This window comes from Homo sapiens, chromosome 16 (assembly GCF_000001405.40).
Source record: "Homo sapiens chromosome 16, GRCh38.p14 Primary Assembly".
NCBI classification, from domain to species: domain Eukaryota; kingdom Metazoa; phylum Chordata; class Mammalia; order Primates; family Hominidae; genus Homo; species Homo sapiens.
In genome coordinates, this window is record NC_000016.10 from 23,580,561 (window position 1) to 23,599,005 (window position 18,445).

Consider the following 18,445-nt stretch of genomic DNA (forward strand, 5'->3'; position numbering starts at 1 on the left):
CAGTGCTAAGAGTAAAAGGGGCAGAACCAATAATGATGTGTGACAAATCAAACTGTGGTTTGATGTGTGGCAATGTCAAACTGACCTTCCAGGAGGAAAGAGAGCCTCCCATTCTCCAAAACTGTTAAACTGTATTAAAAGGGATCTTTAGGACAGTGATGAAAAACTAGTCCCACCTGCTGATATCAGCTGACACATCTGATAATAAGCTAATGGAAACCAAAACAAAGTTTTTTTTGAAGCAAAAAGTCCATTTCCATGAATATATTCACTCCTGATACGAAGGTGGGGAGACAGCCTTACTTCAAGTACATGGCTGGGGAAGCCATTGTTTTTGACATGCATGAATACAAATGACAAATCAGACCTTTAAAAATATTAAGCAATGTCAGTATACAAACATAAAAAAGCACTTTATAGACATCATTGAAAAACTGAAGATGGGGGAAAATGTTGGTTTTATAGATTTATTTTCAAAGAGTAAAACACATACAATTTAAATACAAGTCCATCAGAATCACTCTGTCAGAGTCAGCAAGAATGCCAAAATGTGTCCTCACTGCCAGACATTCGTCACTATCATCTGAGTCCTCTCTCAGCAAAGCCAAAGGGTCTGGAAAAGACAAAATAAGTTCAATGTTATTTTTGATGTATTCTTACTAATGATAAGTGACATCTTTCAGGTGCTAAAAATGCAGCCTCTGGCTGAGTGCAGTGGCTCATGCCCGTAATCTCAGCACTTTGGGAGGCCAAGCTGGGCGGATCACCTGAGGTCAGGAGTTCGAGACCAGCCTGGCCAACATGGTGAAACCCCATCTCTACTAAAAATATAAAAATTAGCTGGGCGTGGAGGTGCACGCCTGTAATCCCAGTTACTCAGGAGGCTGAGGCCGGAGAATTGCTTGAACCCAGGAGGCGGAGGTTGCAGTGAGCCGAGATTGTGCCACTACACTCCAGCCTGGGCAACAGAGCAAGGTTCCATCTTTAAAAAAAAAAAAAAAAAAATGCAGGGTCACTAAAAGCTAAAGACTAAAAACACTAATACAATGTTTTAATTCAAAAAGTCTTATTTGATTATTCTAGGTCCCAAGTAACAAAAGCTACTATTTACTGAGAGGCTTCTTTACATCATTATATCAAGTGATATATATACTCTCTTCAATTTTGCTTTCACAAAAGCCCCAGGTAGGTCCTATCATTACCACCATATTACATATGAGGAAACTGAGGCTTACAGAGCTAAGCAGCCTGCCTGAGACCACCAGGCTTATAGTGTGTGGCAAAGCTGAGAATAAACTTGGGTGTCTCTGACTCCAAAGTCCATCCTCTTATACATGAGGCCTCTCTTGCCTACTTAAGAGCCAGGTCACTTCAGTGTCTTACCCAGCAGGCTGGGCTTACCTTGGCTGAGTAATTGAGGGAGACAGAGGTCTGTTTCCAGGTTACCCTGTTCAGTACTTTGTACAATGTTCTGCTTTTGTGAGGACAGCTGACAATCAAGGGAGTTCTATCCAGGAATGACAGTTCTCAACCTCTCAAAGATCACCACCAGGGCTGGGCCCCTTTGAGTGGCAGACAACAGGAAAGGGCTTGCATTTTATAAGTAGTGAAAAATCTTGGTCAAGCATTTCCATTTTCTGTTTCTTCTTAAGTTTCCTTTATTGAAGAACCACAGACAAATCTATGGGTGAACATCATTTTTTAAGTCTATTTACCTGATACTTTATTCATATACATCCTTCTTATCTGCAATGTAATCTACAATTTCTTGTGGACACATTAACTTTTCAGCATCTATATCAGGAATTTCAAACCCTAAAAGAAAAATATACAACAATGTGAGAGAGTTAAAAAAAAAAAATCCTTTAGAACTGAACACACCTGACCCTTCTACAACAGCTACAAGTATATCAAAACTTTCAGCAACCTTGAATCCCATATAGGTTGTGGGCCAGTTAGCTTCTAGACAGTATGCATACAGGTTGGGTACGATGCTTTGGAGGTATGTTTGTTTGTTTGTTTGTTTGTTTGTTGAGATAGAATTCACATAATAGAAAATTCCTCCTTGTATATACCATATAATTTGGTAGTTTTTAGTATATTCACATTGTGCAACCATCACCATTGTGTAAAAGAAACCCAGCTCCCTCTCCCTCTCCCCACGGTCTCCCTCTCCCTCTCCCTCTTCCCACGGTCTCCCTCTCCCTCTCCCTCTCCCCAAGGTCTCCCTCTCCCTCTCCCTCTTCCCACGGTCTCCCTCTCCCTCTCCCTCTCCCTCTCTTTCCATGGTCTCCCTCTGATGCCGAGCCGAAGCTGGACTGTACTGCCGCCATCTCTGCTCACTGCAACCTCCCTGCCTGATTCTCCTGCCTCGGCCTGCCCAGTGCCTGCGATTGCAGGCACGCGCCGCCACGCCTGACTGGTTTTCGTATTTTTTTGGTGGAGACAGGGTTTCGCTGTGTTGGCTGGGCTGGTCTCCAGCTCCTAACCGCGAGTGATCTGCCAGCCTCGGCCTCCCGAGGTGCCGGGATTGCAGATGGAGTCTCGTTCACTCAGTGCACAATGTTGCCCAGGCTGGAGTGCAGTGGCGTGATCTCGGCTAGCTACAACCTCCACCTCCCAGCTGCCTGCCTTGGCCTCCCAAAGTGCCGAGATTGCAGCCTCTGCCTGGCCGCCCATCGTCTGGGATGTGAGGAGCCCCTCTGCCCGGCTGCCCAGTCTGGGAAGTGAGGAGCGCCCCTTCCCGGCCGCCATCCTGTCTAGGAAGTGAGGAGCGTCTCTGCCCGGCCACCCATCGTCTGAGATGTGGGGAGCGCCTCTGCCCGGCTGCCCAGTCTGGGAAGTGAGGAGCGCCTCTTCCCGGCCACCATCCCGTCTAGGAAGTGAGGAGCGTCTCTGCCCGGCCACCCATCGTCTGAGATGTGGGGAGCGCCTCTGCCCCACTGCCCCGTCTGGGATGTGAGGAGCGCCTCTGCCCGGCCGCGACCCCATCTGGGAGGTGAGGAGCGTCTCTGCCCGGCTGCCCCCTCTGAGAAGTGAGGAGCCCCTCCGCCCGGCAGCCGCCCCGTCTGAGAAGTGAGGAGCCCCTCCGCCCGGCAGCCGCCCCGTCTGAGAAGTGAGGAGCCCCTCTGCCCGGCAGCCGCCCCGTCTGGGAAGTGAGGAGCGTCTCCGCCCGGCAGCCGCCCCGTCAGGGAGGTGTACCCAACAGCTCATTGAGAACGGGCCATGATGACGATGGCGGTTGTTTCGAATAGAAAAGGGGGAAATGTGGGGAAAAGATAGAGAAATCAGATTGTTGCTGTGTCTGTGTAGAAAGAAGTAGACATAGGAGACTCCATTTTGTTCTGTACTAAGAAAAATTCTTCTGCCTTGGGATGCTGTTGATCTATGACCTTACCCCCAACCCGGTGCTCTCTGAAACATGTGCTGTGTCCACTCAGGGTTAAATGGATTAAGGGTGGTGCAAGATGTGCTTTGTTAAACAGATACTTGAAGGCAGCATGCTTGTTAAGAGTCATCACCACTCCCTAATCTCAAGTACCCAGGGACACAAACACTGCGGAAGGCCCCAGGGTCCTCTGCCTAGGAAAACCAGAGACCTTTGTTCACTTGTTTACCTGCTGACCTTCCCTCCACTATTGTCCTATGACCCTGCCAAATCCCCCTCTGCGAGAAACACCCAAGAATGATCAATTAAAAAAAAAAAAAAAAAAAGAAACCCAGTGCCCGTCAGCAGTCACTCCCCATCCTCCCTAGCTCTGGCAACCACCCGTGTACTTTCTATCTCTGGATTTGCCTCTTCTTGACATTTCATGTAAATGGTATATAACGTGTCATCTTCTGTGTCTGGCTTCTTTCACTCGGCACGTTCTCAAGGTTCGTGTGCTGTAACACACGTCACCCATGCATTTTTTTTTTTATGATGGTTGGGTTTTTATAAATGGCTGGGTTTTGGTAGTTAGCTTACTTTGGCCCAAACACTGTGCTGAGCATTTTACACATCATCTCTAATTCTCACAGCAATTCCAATCCTGGGGTTCCTACTATTATCACCCCCACTTTACAGCTGAGGAAACAGGCTTTGAGAGATACAGTTACTTGTCCAGGCTCATACCTGACTAAGCTCAATTCCAGACCTGGTACTCTTAAGCACTAGGCAAAGGGATTCCATCCTAGTCAGCATCATCTGTGAGGAATTTTAACTAGGCCCTGCTCTGCAGAACAGCACAGAAGTCCTTTGATTTCCTATTCAGCCAACTCACGCAGAAACAGCCATGGAACCTTATAAAGGTCTCACCTGCCCAACACACAGTCCCAAACTTGGAGTGTGCTTGTGAGCCAGGATAGGAGACCAAGGCCAGAGGCTCTGGGTGCGTCTCTTGTCCTGGCACACATTACTTCTACCTGGTTCGCGTTACCCGAGCTCAGGAGGGGCTGACATGTCATCAGCATGTGTTCCGGGGAGGCTTTTGCCCTTTGTCTTAGAACCCTGTCTGAAGAATCAGTCCCCTGGAACCATCTCTGGTCATTCGGCTCTTGGCACCACACTGGGCACTCTGCTGGGCTTGTGCAAGGTGCTCTCTGAATAAATGTACCATCCCTAAAGCTTACTTCACCTGATGGTAAGTGGGCAGGAAGGTGTGTGTGAAGGGCAGTGGATGCTACTGTTTCTATTAATATTTAATTCTAATTCCAATTCAGACGCCCACCACTTCTTTCAGTTTAATCCACCTTAATCAAAAATCGCAGTGTGTAGATAGAAGACTGAGCCTTACCAAATTCGTCTTCCATGGCCATGATAATCTCCACTTGGTCCAAACTGTCTAAGCCCAGGTCTTTCATAAAATGAGAATTTACTGAAAGCTGCAAGAAAGGAGCACCAAACACAAAATTTAGTCCATGAAAGCATCTGCTTCCCAAGATAACAGGGTGGTACAATGCCACTTAATCACTATATTGAATTTATTATACTTTAAGTTTTAGGGTACATGTGCACAACGTGCAGGTTTGTTACATAGGTATACATGTGCCATGTTGGTTTGCTGCACCCATCAACTCATCATTTACATTAGGTATTTCTCCTAATGCTGTCCCTCCCCAAACCCCCTACCCCTTGACAGGCCCTGGTAAATGATGCTCCCCACCCTCTGTCCAAGTGACCTCATTGTTCAGTTCCCACCTATGAGCGAGAACACACAGTGTTTGGTTTTCTGTCCTTGTGACTACATCGAATTTTTTTTAACATACAGAGGCTATAACTGACATTTTATATGTAACCTATGCTAGTATGTACATGGTTTGCTTTATCTTACTCTGTTTTGAAGTGAACAATATATACATAGCTAATGAAGGATTTCACTCTAATGTTGTCTGTTTTTTGGTTTTTTGAGAAAGTCTTGCTCTGTCACCCAGGCTGGAGTGCAATGGCACGATCTCGGCTCACTGCAAACTCGGCCTCCCGGGTTCAAGCAATTCTCACCCCTCAGACTCCCGAGTAGCTGGGATTATAGGCGTGCACCACCACGCCCAGCTAATTTTTGTATTTTTAGTAGAGACGGGGTTTCACCATGTTAGTCAGGCTGGTCTCGAACCCCTGACCTCGTGATCCACCCACCTTGGCCTCCCAAAGTGCTGGGATTACAGGCGTGAGCCACTGCGCCTGGCCAAAGTGTTTACTATCACCCTATCACTCTAATTTAGACCTCAGGATCACCAGGAATGATTCTTCAAAAACCCAAATCAAAAAAAAAACTGCCTTACCTACACAACAGATTCAATTTTTTTTCGTTGTTAGATGGAGTTTCACCCTGTCATCCAGGCTGCAGTGTGCAGTGGCATGATCTCGGCTCACTGCACCCTCTCCCTCCCGGGTTCAAGCAATTCTCTGCCTCATCCTCCCGAGTGGCTGGGATTACAGGTGTCTGCCACCACGCCTGTCTAATTTGTGTATTTTTAGTAGAGATGGGGTTTCACCATCTTGGCCAGGCTGCTCTTCATTTCCTGACCTCATGATCCACTCGCCTCGGCCTCCCAAAGTGCTGGGATTACAGGCGTGAGCTACCACGCCCGGCCCCACTTGTGTTTTTATTATTTATTATTATTTTTGAGATGGAGTTTCACTCTTGTTGCCTAGGCTGGACTGCAATCACGCTATCTCGGCTCACTGCAACCTCCACCTCCCGGGTTCAAGTGATTCTGCTGCCTCAGCCTCCCGAGTAGCTGGGATTACAGGTATGTGCCACCATGCCCGGCTAATTTTGTATTTTTAGTAGAGATGAAGTTTCTACATGTTAGTCAGGCTGGTCTTGAATTCCCGACCTCAGGTGATCCGCCCGCCTCGGCCTCCCAAAGTGCTGGGATTACAGGCATGAGCCACAGTGCCCGGCCAGTTGTGTTTTTTAAAAAGGGTGAGAGATACATACATATAATATACACACGTGTGTATACTTCTTTAACATATGCATTGAGTACCTTTGGAAACATACATGAAACTGGTAGCGCTGGCTATCTCCCAGAATGGGCCTGGGTGTCTGGGAGCCAGGGAGATTTTTACTGAGTATCTTTCCCTTTGCATTTTCTAGCATGTAATTAAATACTCTATATTTAAAGAAAAAAATTCAAACCACCATCAGTTACCTTCTCTGGGTCAATCTTGTCATAGAGTTTCAATACGTAAAGAACACGGTCCTGGATGCCCTCTAACGTCAAAGGAGGCATGTCGCTATACTGGCGGCACAACTGTGTAACTCTACCAGGAACCTAGAGCGACGGCAGGAAGGAAACACTGTCATTGAATGGAAAATACCTCTAAATCAATGCACAAGCCTATAGGTAACTTTCACAGAACTTTCGGGGCTTTAGAGAACCCACAGCATCTGATTCTCATTGTGGCCACCAGGACACACTAAGTTGCAGGACTGGGTAATCGCAGAAGCCCCAACAGTTCAGCAGCATCTCAGGCCTCCTTCCTGGGAGTCAGGACCGGCCCCTCTGCCTCCTGGCTTCAACCCTCAGGCTCTGGACATTCATACTGCTCTGCGACACTAACTGCCACTAAAATTGTCTAGCGTCTGCAGAATGCCTGTGTCTTCTCATGGCATCTTCAGCATCCCGAGGCCTCTACAGGGTGCTGCCACCTTTAATAGGCTGACCCAAGTCAAAATAACCCAAAAGGAAAGAGCTGTCATGGTAAACCCAAAGGCAATTCAAATTGAGGACCATACACCAGAAAGGTCTAGTTTGGTTCCAGCAGTTATCTCCCTGATCTCAGCCAGGACAAAGGAAGCTGGCCTCCCACCCAAAGAGGGGATGAGGGAGCTTACAGTCACTACATTCCAATCTGTTTCCCTTCCAGCGAGGCTTGCCTCATGGCCACCAGCCAAACCATGAGCCCTTCTGGCCTGTGCCATGTTAGAGCAATACCTCACGTATCTCTGGTATTAGTCGGCTCAATGTTTAGGTATTAGGGTATTGACCAGATTTCATTCAACAAATGTGGAATGAGCTGCAATTACAGGTCAGGGGGTTTAATGCTGTGGAAGGTACGACGCAGAATCAGAGAAAACAAAACAGGGTATCTGGCAGTTTTGCTCACTACTGAAATCCCTAATCTGGCTAGTCGTGGTGGCTCACGCCTATAATCACAACACTTTGGGAGGCCACGGTGAGCAGATCACCTGAGGTCAGGAGTTCGAGACCAGCCTGGCCAACATGGTGAAACCCCGTCTCTACTAAAAATACAAAAATTAGCCAGGCGTGGTGGTGGGCGCCTGTAATCCCAGCTACTCAGGAGACTGAGGAAGGAGAATCGCTTGAATGTGGGAGGAGAGGTTGCAGTGAGCCGAGCCTGCGCCATTGCATTCCAGCCTGGGCGACAAAGCAAGACTCCGTCTCAAAAAAAAGAAAAAGAAAGAAATCCCTAATCTAAATTGGTTTGTTTACCTCCTGAAGTTGATTTTAAGTCCGAGGCTTGGCGTTCTTCAGGCATTTCCCTATAGAAAGTGGGGCTGCTTGTTAGGGCTCAGGTCCCTGAAACTCACAAAGGTCCATGAAAAATCATAATAAATACTGCCCAGAGAACCAAACCAGTATAACCTCTGTAGAAGAAACATTCATCTTGCATAAAGAACAGGTATTGGGCCGATGTGTGTCTCACACCTGTAATCCCAGCACTTTGGGAGGCCGAGGTGAGCCAATCACTTGAGGCCAGGAGTTCGAGACCAGCCTGGCCAACATGGTGAAGCCTCGTCTCTACTAAAAATACAAAAATTAGCTGGGCGTGGTGGTGTGTGCCTGTAATCCCAGCTATTCAGGTAGCTGAGGCATGAGAATTGCTTGAACCCAGACAGAGGTTGCAGTGAGCCGAGACTGTGCCACTGCACTCCACCTTGGGCCACAGAGCGAGACTCTGTCTCAAAAAAGAAAAGAAAAAGAAGTCAGTTATTAAAATCAGGTTTAGGCTGGGCGCAGTGGCTCACACCTGTAATTGCCACACTTTGGGAAGCCGAAGCAGGCGGATCACGAGGTCAGGAGTTCGACACTAGCCTGACCAACATGGAGAAACCCCGTCTCTACCAAAAATATAAGTTAGCTGGGCGTGGTAACATGTGCCTGTAATCCCATCTACTCAGGAGGCTGAAGCAGAAGAATCGCTTGAACTTGGGAGTCGGAGGTTGCAGTGAGCCAAGATCATGCCATTTACACTCCAGCATGGGTGACAGAGTGAGATTCCGTCTCAAGAAAAAAAAAAAAAAAATCAGGTTTAATCAGCAAACTAAAGAGATGAGTTGGAGAGTATGATAGATATTCTAACGAGCCTTTCTGAGTACTTTCAAGAGTTTTAGAGCATGTTTCTTTGTCTAAATGTCTAGTCTCCTTTCGTATTATACATGGGTTAAGGAGACCTTTTATACAGGCACATGACCGGCCTACTTAACAATGACTCAAATAGGTTTCCAAGTCACAAATAAAATGGAGAAGAAAGGAATAAAGAGAAAGGGGGAGAAGAAATGAGGTAATATGGCAATGGCAGAAAAGAAATTTCAGTTGGAGGGATCTAACAGAGGCTGTGTGCTTATCAAGAAATGGTACGAGGCCAGGTGTGGTGGCTCACGCCTGTAATCCCAGCACTTTGGGAGGCCAAGGTGGGCGGATCTCTTGAGGTCAGGAGTTTAAGACCAGCCTGCCCAACACAGTGAAACCTCCATCTCTACTGAAAGTCCAAAAATTAGCCGGGCATCGTGGCGTGTGCCTATAATCCCAGCTAATCAGGAGGCTGAAGTGGGAGGATCACTTGAACCTAGGAGGCAGAGGTTGCAGTGAACTGAGATCATGGCTCTACACTCCAGCCTGGGCGGCAGGGTGAGACTCTGTCTCCAAAAAGAAAAAAAAAAAAAAAAAAAAAAAGAAATGGTACGATGCCAGGTGTGGTGGCTCACGCCTGTAATCCCAACACTTTGGGAGGCCAAAGTGGAAGGATCGCTTGAGCCCAGGAGTTCCAGACCAACCTGGGCAACAAAGCAAGACCCCTGGTGAGGGTATATTCTATGTTCGTACACAACTACCCATGAGGCCAACTAGGTTGTCAGCATTGTCCTCAGCAGCTCCAGCAAGTACCTACAAGGGCCAGGTGGGCACCATGTGATTAAATTAAACGAGTCTCTGACTGGAGGCCACATGCCAATCTAGAGTGGGTGCTGCATCAGGATCAGCGTGAGGCAGTAAGTTAGTGGGCAAGAGCTCAGACGCTGAAACTAGACCACCTATGCCTGCACCATGGTGCTGGCTCTCACTAGTTGTTTGGCCTTGGGTGGGTTACTTAACCTTCTACATCTCAGTTTCCTCATCTGTAAAATGGGGATAAACAACAGTACCACACTCACAGGACTGTTGTGAAGCATCAGTGAGATGAAGTAAAGGCTTGGACATTGGCTGGCACTTAACACAGTAAGTGCTATTTAGGGTTATTTAGTAGGATCCTGAGAACAATGACCAGCAGCAGCTAGTTTGATACCTTGGCTGTAGCGTAGCCCCAAAATACTTGATCCTACTACCCTCTCATGCTCCTGCCTCTGGTCTCTTTTTTTTTTTTTTTTCAGACAGAGTCTCACTGTGTTGCCCAGGCTGGAGTGCAGTGTTGTGACCTTGGCTCACCACAACTTCTGCCTCCCAGGTTCAAGTGATTCTTATGCCTCTGCCTCCCAAGTAGCTGGGATTACAGGCGTGCACCACCATGCCTGGCTAATTTCTGTATTTTTAGTGGAGATGAGGTTTTACCATGTTGGCCAGGCTGGTCCTGAACTCCTGGTCTCAAGTGATCCACTCACCTCAGCCTCTCAAAGTGCTGGGATTACATGCATAAGCCACCACGTCCCGGCCTCCATTAATTTCTTATCAGCTCAGGCTATGATATTGCACTTTACACACATCATCTTTCTTCAGCTCTCCAGTATTCTGGTGAGATCCATGATACTATCACCCTCCTTTTTACAGATGAGAAACTGAGGCAAGGGAAGGTTAGGTATCCTCCTCACCCCATGTCCTTCCAGCATGGCCTCCTGGAAGGTCTTGCTGCTCCTTCTAACTGGATCTCTGTTGATTGGGAAAAAATAAAAGGGATACAAAATGGACAAGCACCTCCCCAACAGCCAACATGTGATGTTTCTGGTGTTAGTTGTTCTTCCCCAAGATCTACACTTAACAAGTATATGGGAAATAAACCACCTCTCCCAGACATCAGAGAAGGTACTGTTTGCAGGTAAAGAGTGATGACCCTCTGGGCTAGTAATTCAAACAGATGAGGTTCCATCAGAATCCCGGTACTCCACTGGGGCTCACTTCTGCCTGAGGCAAACTCAGAGGAGGCTAAGGAGAGGGCTTTAAAGGCCGTCTCTACAAACTGCCGACTGGTCCACTCTACACAGGCAGCCCAGACCTCTCAAACTCAACAGTTTGGAAATGAACTCCTGACCTGTCTCCAAAACTCCTGCTTACAGACCTCTGTTCCTTCTCCGCCACCTGGGGCTTATTCCTTCAATAAGCCCTGTTTCATGTTCACTCCCTATGACCTTTGCAGAGAATACCCACAATTCCTCGCTGCAGCATACAGCTCCCTTCATGATATGCTCACTCTCTTCCCCCCAACAATGTTCCCTTCCAGACACCCTAAGAGTCAACCACAAGGAGGTAAGTGCCAGGCTCTTCCTGGCCTCTGCACAGGCCTTCAAGATCACGTTCACTGAGAGATTGGTCAAGTATCTCTTTTTGCTTTTGCACTACACACACCTGTTTCACAATGCCTTGCCTTTATTTACACGACTGTCTCAGAAGCCTGGGAACTTTACCTGTGTGCCAAGAACTGTGCAATGGGCTGGAAATGCAAAGATGAATAAGACACAACCTTCCCCCAAAAGAAGCTTACACTCTAATGGAAAAGACCAATCCACAGATCATTTTAGTTGAAATAAAAATATGGCAAGCACCATGACAGAAGTATCTGTAGGCTGATGCAATAACAAAAGTTGTCACTCAGTCCTTGAGTGGCCGGAAAGGAGGATGCCAGACTTGGATTTGGTGAGGAAAAGAGCTGAGACTGATAATTCAAGGAGAGGGAAGAACAGGTCAAGAAAACGAAATGAGGTCAGGCGTGGTAGCGCAGGCCAGTTATCCCAGCTAGTCAAGGGACTGAGGCAGAAGGATTGCTTGAGCCCAGGAGTTTGAAGCTGCACTGATATATGATCATGCCACTGCACTCCAGCCTAAGTGACAGAGACCTTGTCTGGAAAAAAAAAAAAAAAAAAAGTCATGAAAGTGCAGTGCCTGTGTCTATGTGAGAAGACATCAGCTCATGTTGGGAGATGGTACACAGATGACAGGCTTGGAGGCTAAGAGGGAGGGCCCAGGTCTGCAGAGCCTTAAGGGCCATGGGAAGGGACTGGGACTTTGTCTGGTCCTGGTCCCAGTCCTGGAATAGCTAGCTTTTTTTTGTACAAGTGCTGTCTTCATCTGCGTACCATGCCCCATAGAACTGCTGGAAATTATCTTTGTGCTCCATCTGCTAGACAGTGTAGATTCGGGGCCTACCTGGATCAAGTATAAGACTTCCAGGCTGCATTTTAGGCCATTGCCCTTGGTTTTTGTTTTTTTGTTTTTTCCTTACCTTCTATTTTATATCATCTGGTATTTTTATACCCAGGAAAACTGCCTTAGCTCCTTTTGGGAAAAAGGGTGTAAATGAGTGACTAGTTGCTCTGAAGTTGGCATAGTGGATGGATTTGAGGAGAGGAAATTTCACAGCAGGGAATAGGTAGCATGAGCAATGGTCCAAATGAGATGAACAAGGACTGGAGGCGGAGGTCTGGGATATACAGCAATAACAGAAACCAGGAGTGAAGAGTCCAGGGAGCATGTGTGGTAAGAGAACTCGGGAGCCCACCAACATTTAAGGGTTAGGCACACCAGGTGTGATGGCTCATGCCTGTAATCCCAGCACTTGGGAGGCTGAGGCAGGAGGATTGCTTGAGCCCAAGAGTTCACAACTAGCCTAGGCAACATAAGGAGATTCCGTCTCTAAAAAGAAGACAGACATCAAAAAATTAGGGGTGGTGGCTCATGCCTGTAGTCCCAGCTACTCAGGAAGCTGAGGCAGGAGGACCATTTGAGTCCAGGAGGTCAAGGCTGCAGTGAGCCACGATCATGCCACTGCACTCCAGCCTGAAAGGCAAAGTGTCCCAACAAGGTAGGAGGACAAACCAACCAAGGGAGAACAGTGTCACAACAGCCTAGGGAAGAAGACAGCAGCAGAGAAGGAGCCAGCAAGTTGGACATAAGGGCTGCAAAGCGTTCAATGAAGATGTAAGCTAATGTCTTCCTTTTGTATCCATCTCTGTATCTCTCAACAGCTAGCATGAGTCCTGGCACACAGCTGGCCCTCAATATCTTTGAATGAACTTAGTCAAAACCACTTTGTAAATATAAATAAAATGGTTCCTCTGCTATATATGCAAGCCAAGCCGCCATAGTGGAACATTTCTGAGCTCCTTGCCATTCAAAGCATGGTCCAAGGAACACCCGCAGCAGGATCTTCTGGAAGCCCACTGGAGGTGGAAACTCTCTGGCCCCTTCCCAGAACTGAATCAGAATCTGTATTCCAGCCTAAGTGATCTGTATGTCCAATCAACTGAGAATCAATGCTGTAAGAACAAAGACAGTCACTTCACATTTTAGCCCAATGTTGAAATCAATCTTAGGAACCAGACACTCATCAATTCTAACTACTGCCTTTTTAACCCTTATTTATTTATTTATTTATTTATTTATTTATTTATTTATTTATTTATTGAGATGGAGTCTGGCTCTGTCGCCCAGGCTGGAGTGCAGTGGCACGATCTCGGCTCACTGAAAGCTCTGCCTCCCGGGTTCATGCCATTCTCCTGCCTCAGCCTCCCGAGTAGCTGGGACTACAGGCGCCCGCCACCACGCCCGGCTAATTATTTTGTATTTTTAGTAGAGACGGGGTTTCACCGTGTTAGCCAGGATGGTCTCCATCTCCTGACCTCGTGATCCGCCCGTCTCGGCCTCCCAAACTGCTGGGATTACAGGCGTGAGCCATCGCGCCTGGCCTTTAACCCTTAATTTCAAGGTGACACTTTTCACCTTTTGATACAGCCAACAGGGCAGTGCCCAATGAATGAATCCATTACACTGTCAGTGAACAGCAACACTGGCTTCACAAAAGAAACACTTGATGACTTCTAAAAATAGTCGCCTAGTACTCACTTCTAGATTCTGTCGATCTGGCACGGGCTGGCTGGCTTATTTAAGACGGTCTGCCTCCCAGACTGGAGTGCAGTGGCATCATCTCAGCTCCCTAAAACCTCTGCCTCCTGGGTTCAATCGATCCTCCCACCTCAGCCTCCTGAGTAGCTGGGACTACAGGCGCGTGCCACCACGCCCGGATAATTTTTTGTATGTTTAGTAGAGACGGGGTTTCACTGTGTTAGCCAGAATGGTCTCGATCGCCTGACCTCGTGATCCGCCCGCCTCGGCATCCCAAAGTGCTGGGATTACAGGCATAAGCCACCGCGCCCGGCCTAATTTCTGTATTTTTTGTAGAGACGGGGTTCCACCATGTTGCCTAGGAGGGTCTCAAACTCCTGGGCTCAAGCGATTCGCCCGCCTCGGCCTCCCAAAGTGCTGGGATTACAGGCGTGAGCCACCACGCCTGGCCAGACACACTTATTTTTCACACTAACATGCAGTCAAGGTTGAAACCACTATTACCTGAAGTCTATGACTTTGAAAAGGGGTTTCATAACTTGACCTTGGGAGTCTATCCTACCTTAAGACGGTTATTTTTATTCCCAACTGCACTTCAGAGTCATCTGGAGAACTTAGAAAACAACAAAAAAAAGGCAGGGCGCGGTGGTTCACGCCTGTAATCCCAGCACTTTGGGAGGCCGAGGCGGGTGGATTGCGAGGTCGGGAGTTCAAGACCAACCTGGCCAATATGATGAAACCCCGTCTCCACTAAAAATACAAAACTTAGCCGGGCATGGTGGCGGGCGCCTGTAGTCCCAAATACTCGGGGGGGCTGAGGGAGGAGAATTGCTTGAACCTGAGAGGCGGAGGTTGCCGTTAGCCGGAGGTTGCAGTGAGCTGAGATCACGCCACTGCATTACAGCCTGGGTGACAGAGCGAGACTCTGTCTCAAAAACAACAACAACAACACCGAAATCACTGCCTCCCGGCGTTTCAGCCTCACGCAGATTTCATCAGCTCAAGCTATATACTACAGGTACAGTCGTTCCTTGGTATTTGCGCAGATTGGTTCCAGGACCCCCGACTATACCCAAATCCCCGCACACTCACGTCCCGCAGTCAGCCTTGCAGAATCCGCTTATAGGAAGAGCCTGCCCTCCTTATACGCGGGGCGGCACATCCCGTAAATACTGGTCGCGTTTGGTTGAAAAAAAATCCGCATATAAGTGGACCCGCGCAATTCAAATCCTTATTGGTCAAAGGTCACTTGGCTTGTTTCCTAGAATTACTTCCAGGAGTCCTGGACACAGGCAGAAGGTGCTGCAGGGAAGAGTAAGGACAGAACTGCAGAGAGAAAACCGCTCTGGAGAAGGCTGTAGGCCAGTGTGGCTGCCTCTTTGCATGCTGCTTTCACTACAATACGGTGACCGCTATTTTGAGACCGTACGAGGTGCTCTAGCCGCATTAACTCATCTAATCCTCATTGCTACTCCGCAAGGTAGAGACCAGGATCCCAATTTTGCAGGTGAGTGTGAGCCAGGCTAGGAGACTTGTCCAAAGTTTCGGTAAGCGGCAGCCCAGCAGTGCTGGACTCGAGTCAGTGCTCTTGCTCGTTATTACGAGGTCACCCGGCCTCCCGTCAGGGGTCAACTAAACACCTTTAGGCAGCGGGGCTGCGGAGCGAGCCGGCTGCCCCCCGGGTCACCCCTGCCTGCAGCTGGCGCGCCCCGGATGCCCGGCCCCCACCCCCACCGGGCCCAATCCCTGACCCTTGCCAAGCGGCAGCAAAGTCACCACGAGTCACCTGCGCGAGCACTAAGGCCGGCTGCAAAGTCCCGAGCCTCGTCTGGGTCCCCGCGGAGCAGAGAGCGGTGCTGAGAGGCCGGGCCACGGCCAGCATCCGGACCCGGGGCAGCGGCGCAAAGGCCGCGGGCAGGCGGCTGACATAGGCTGAAAGGACACGAGACGCCATGGCTACGCCAACCCAGGATGCACTGCGCCGCCGCCTCCGGACCAGGGTTCCTTTCCGGCGGCGCGCAGGCGACGCACACGGCAGCGCTGTCGGGCACCGCCGGCGGTGGCGGCCCCTGGCGGCTCCTGGAGGCACTGCGCCCTCGGAGCCCATCCAGGTTCGGGGACGAACAACTGCTTGGTGTCACAACTAAACTGTGCAGACGTCGCCGTCTTTCCCTAAACGACACGGCACGAGAAACCTACTTTCATTTTTTATCTGAAAGTTCTGAAATACATCTGTTTAAACGTTTGGGGCCGGGTGCGGTGGCTGACGCCTTTAATCCTAGCACTTTGGGAGGCCAAGGTGGCAGGACTGTTTGAGCTCAGGAGTTCAAGACCAACCTGGCCAACACGGCAAGACTCCGTCTCTATTACAAAAAAGATTAAAAGAAAAAAAGGACAAAGTTTTGATTCCACAATTCTTCCACAAGTATTAACATTTATTGAATAGGTAAAAAAATATATATAATAATGTGAAAAAATAATCAATTTCAATACCTAAGACTAATAAATGTGAGAATTACGATTAAAACAATATACATGTTTTAAAACTTGACAGTGTATAATATAGCTGTCAGGTCCACGACTATGCCAACTGTCATGCCCACAGCCAGGTTCCAGCCCATATCGAGGTCTGAGGGGAGTGGGTGGATGAACAGATAGCTGAAAGAACACTCAGGGGACGGTAGGCAGGTGAAAGATGATTTTATTCAGCAGCAGCTCTCATCAGCAGCTTACTTACACTAGTTCTCTCACACTGTCTGCCTTGTCTCAGCTGCTTAGTCCCATGGCTCCCCCACACAACTGCGAGGCTGGCTCTCCCTTGCCTTCAGGGTCAGCAGCTTAACTCTCTCTCAGCTGTGATCTGGCTCCCCCTGTCTGTCTGCAAAGACTGACAGCTCTGGCTCTCTCTTTCTCTGGGCACGAACGCCTGTACAGTATCAGCAGGGCAATTATACCTTTTACAGAAAATAGTGGCTTAGAGCCAAGTGATGACCTTCCCATGTTATGCCTACATGGCTGTGATAACAAGTGGAGTTATACGCCTCTGTCTAAACTTGCTGAGTCACGCAGGATGTAAACATCTTACCTTGGCCTATCCTTGACCAAAGCACAGCCATGTTCCTTACAATAGCTAACAAAAATAGGTAAGCGAGGGAGGAGTTTAAGAAGGCTAATTCCTATTTCTAAGCAGGGAGCTAAAGGATATTGACTGAAATGGAAACACACGGGATAATGACTCCAAATTCTGAAATCTGCCTGAATGAATGATCCAATAATGTCACCAGTTTTACCTCAATTTCTTTTTATTTTTGTTAAATCCAAGTAAAATAAAATGTAATGGTATGCTGCCAGGCGCGGTGGCTCATACCTGTAATCCCAGCACTTTGGGAGGCCAAGGTGGGTGGATCACGAGGTCAAGAGATCGAGACAATCCTGGTCAACATGGTGAAACCCCATTTCTACTAAAAATACAAAAATTAGTTGGGTGTGGTGGTGCGCGCCTGTAGTCCCAGATACTCAGGAGGCTGAGGCAGGAGAATCGCTTGAACTTGGGAGGCAGAGGTTGCAGTGAGCCGAGATTGCGCCACTGCACTCCAGGCTGGCAAAAGAGCAAGACTCCATCTCAAAAAAAAAAAACGAAAACAAAAAAAACATAGTTTCATCCCACTGTTGTAAAATAATTTCTATTTATTATAGCATTCCTTTAAAACTCGAGTGTCTGGGGGCCAGGCATGGTGGGTCAAACCTGTAATCCCAGCATTTTGGGAGGCTGAGGCAGGTGGATCACCTGATGTCAGGAGTTTGAGACCAACCTGGACAACATGGTGAAACCCCGTCTCTACTAAAAATACAAAAATTAGCTGGGTGTGGTGGCAGGTGACTGTAATCCCAGCTACTCAGGAGGCAGGAAGCTGAGACAGGAGAATTGCTTGAACCCGGGAGGTAGAGGTTGCAGGGAGCTGAGATCGCGCCATTGCACTCTAGCCTGGGCAACAAGAGTGAAGCTCCATCTCAAAAAAGTCTCAAAAAAAAATTGAGTATCTGTTACGTACTAATTGTTGAGGCTGCAACTGTGAGCAAGCCAGACAGGCAAGCCTGGTTCAGTGGCTCACCTCCGTAATCCCAGCACTTTGGGAGGCCAAGGGAGGTGGATCGCTTGAGCCCAGGAGTTTGAGATCAACCTAGGCAACACAGGGAGACCTTGTCTCCATAAAAAATTTAAAAAATTAGCCAGGCATGGTGATGCATGTCTGTGGTCCCAGCTGCTTGGGAAGCTGAGGTGGGAGGACCAATTGAGCCCAGGAGGTCAAGGCTGCAGTGAGCTATGATCACACCACTACACTCCAGCCTGGGCAACAGAGTGAGACTCTGTTTCCCAAAAAAATGTAGCTCTTAGCTTAGGAAGAACCTAATCCTACTAAGTTCACAATTGGGGCCATCTCTTCCCATGACCTATCTAGTCTTTCAGTGTTACACGTATGTATGTATATATGTATGTATGTATGTATTTATAGAGATGGGGTTTCACCGTGTTAGCCAGGGTGGTCTCAAACTCCTGACCTCATGATCTGCCCGCCTCGGCCTCCCAAAGTGCTGGGATTACAGGCGTGAGCCACTGCACCCGGCCTCAGTGTTACATTTAATCCTTTTGGTAAAACATAACAAATCA

General features: G+C 48.2%; 1 protein-coding gene across 2 annotated transcripts, besides 2 other annotated features; it reads right to left on the minus strand.

The window, feature by feature from the left end:
- Positions 1-453: 453 nt before the first annotated feature.
- Positions 454-15,756, minus strand: NDUFAB1 (NADH:ubiquinone oxidoreductase subunit AB1). 2 transcript variants are annotated; one of them, XM_011545856.3, is made up of 6 exons: positions 15,528-15,756; positions 10,533-10,590; positions 6,637-6,759; positions 4,776-4,863; positions 1,716-1,815; positions 454-613 (listed from the first exon to the last, which is right to left on the minus strand). In XM_011545856.3, exons 1-5 carry the CDS (start codon positions 15,728-15,730, stop codon positions 1,724-1,726), a joined length of 564 nt encoding a protein of 187 aa, XP_011544158.2. In that variant the 5' UTR covers positions 15,731-15,756; the 3' UTR covers positions 454-613; positions 1,716-1,723. The 2 variants fall into 2 exon arrangements, with proteins under 2 accessions (XP_011544158.2, NP_004994.1); NM_005003.3 differs by lacking the exon at positions 10,533-10,590 and having other exon boundaries at positions 15,563-15,756.
- Positions 13,492-13,668: a silencer, noted in NCBI's record as "fragment chr16:23605373-23605549 (GRCh37/hg19 assembly coordinates)". NCBI's record gives its function as "represses an EF-1alpha promoter that drives an FKBP-Casp9 reporter gene in an ReSE screen in HepG2 liver carcinoma cells {active_cell/tissue: HepG2}" and the evidence as "EXISTENCE:reporter gene assay evidence [ECO:0000049][PMID:32094911]".
- Positions 15,414-15,503: a silencer, noted in NCBI's record as "silent region_7281". NCBI's record gives its function as "represses an Ori minimal core promoter by ATAC-STARR-seq in GM12878 lymphoblastoid cells {active_cell/tissue: GM12878}" and the evidence as "EXISTENCE:reporter gene assay evidence [ECO:0000049][PMID:35858748]".
- Positions 15,757-18,445: the final 2,689 nt, after the last annotated feature.

Excerpts from the sequence above, each read along its gene's own strand:
- NDUFAB1 (XM_011545856.3), bottom strand. The coding sequence starts at position 15,730 with ATGGCGTCTCGTGTCCTTTCAGCCTATGTCAGCCGCCTGCCCGCGGCC. Across the intron at positions 6,760-10,532 it reads CCATGCTGGAAGGACATGGG|GTTCCTGGTAGAGTTACACA; the intron begins GTGAGGAGGATA and ends CCGTCGCTCTAG. Across the intron at positions 1,816-4,775 it reads GGCCATGGAAGACGAATTTG|GGTTTGAAATTCCTGATATA; the intron begins GTAAGGCTCAGT and ends TTTTTCTTTTAG.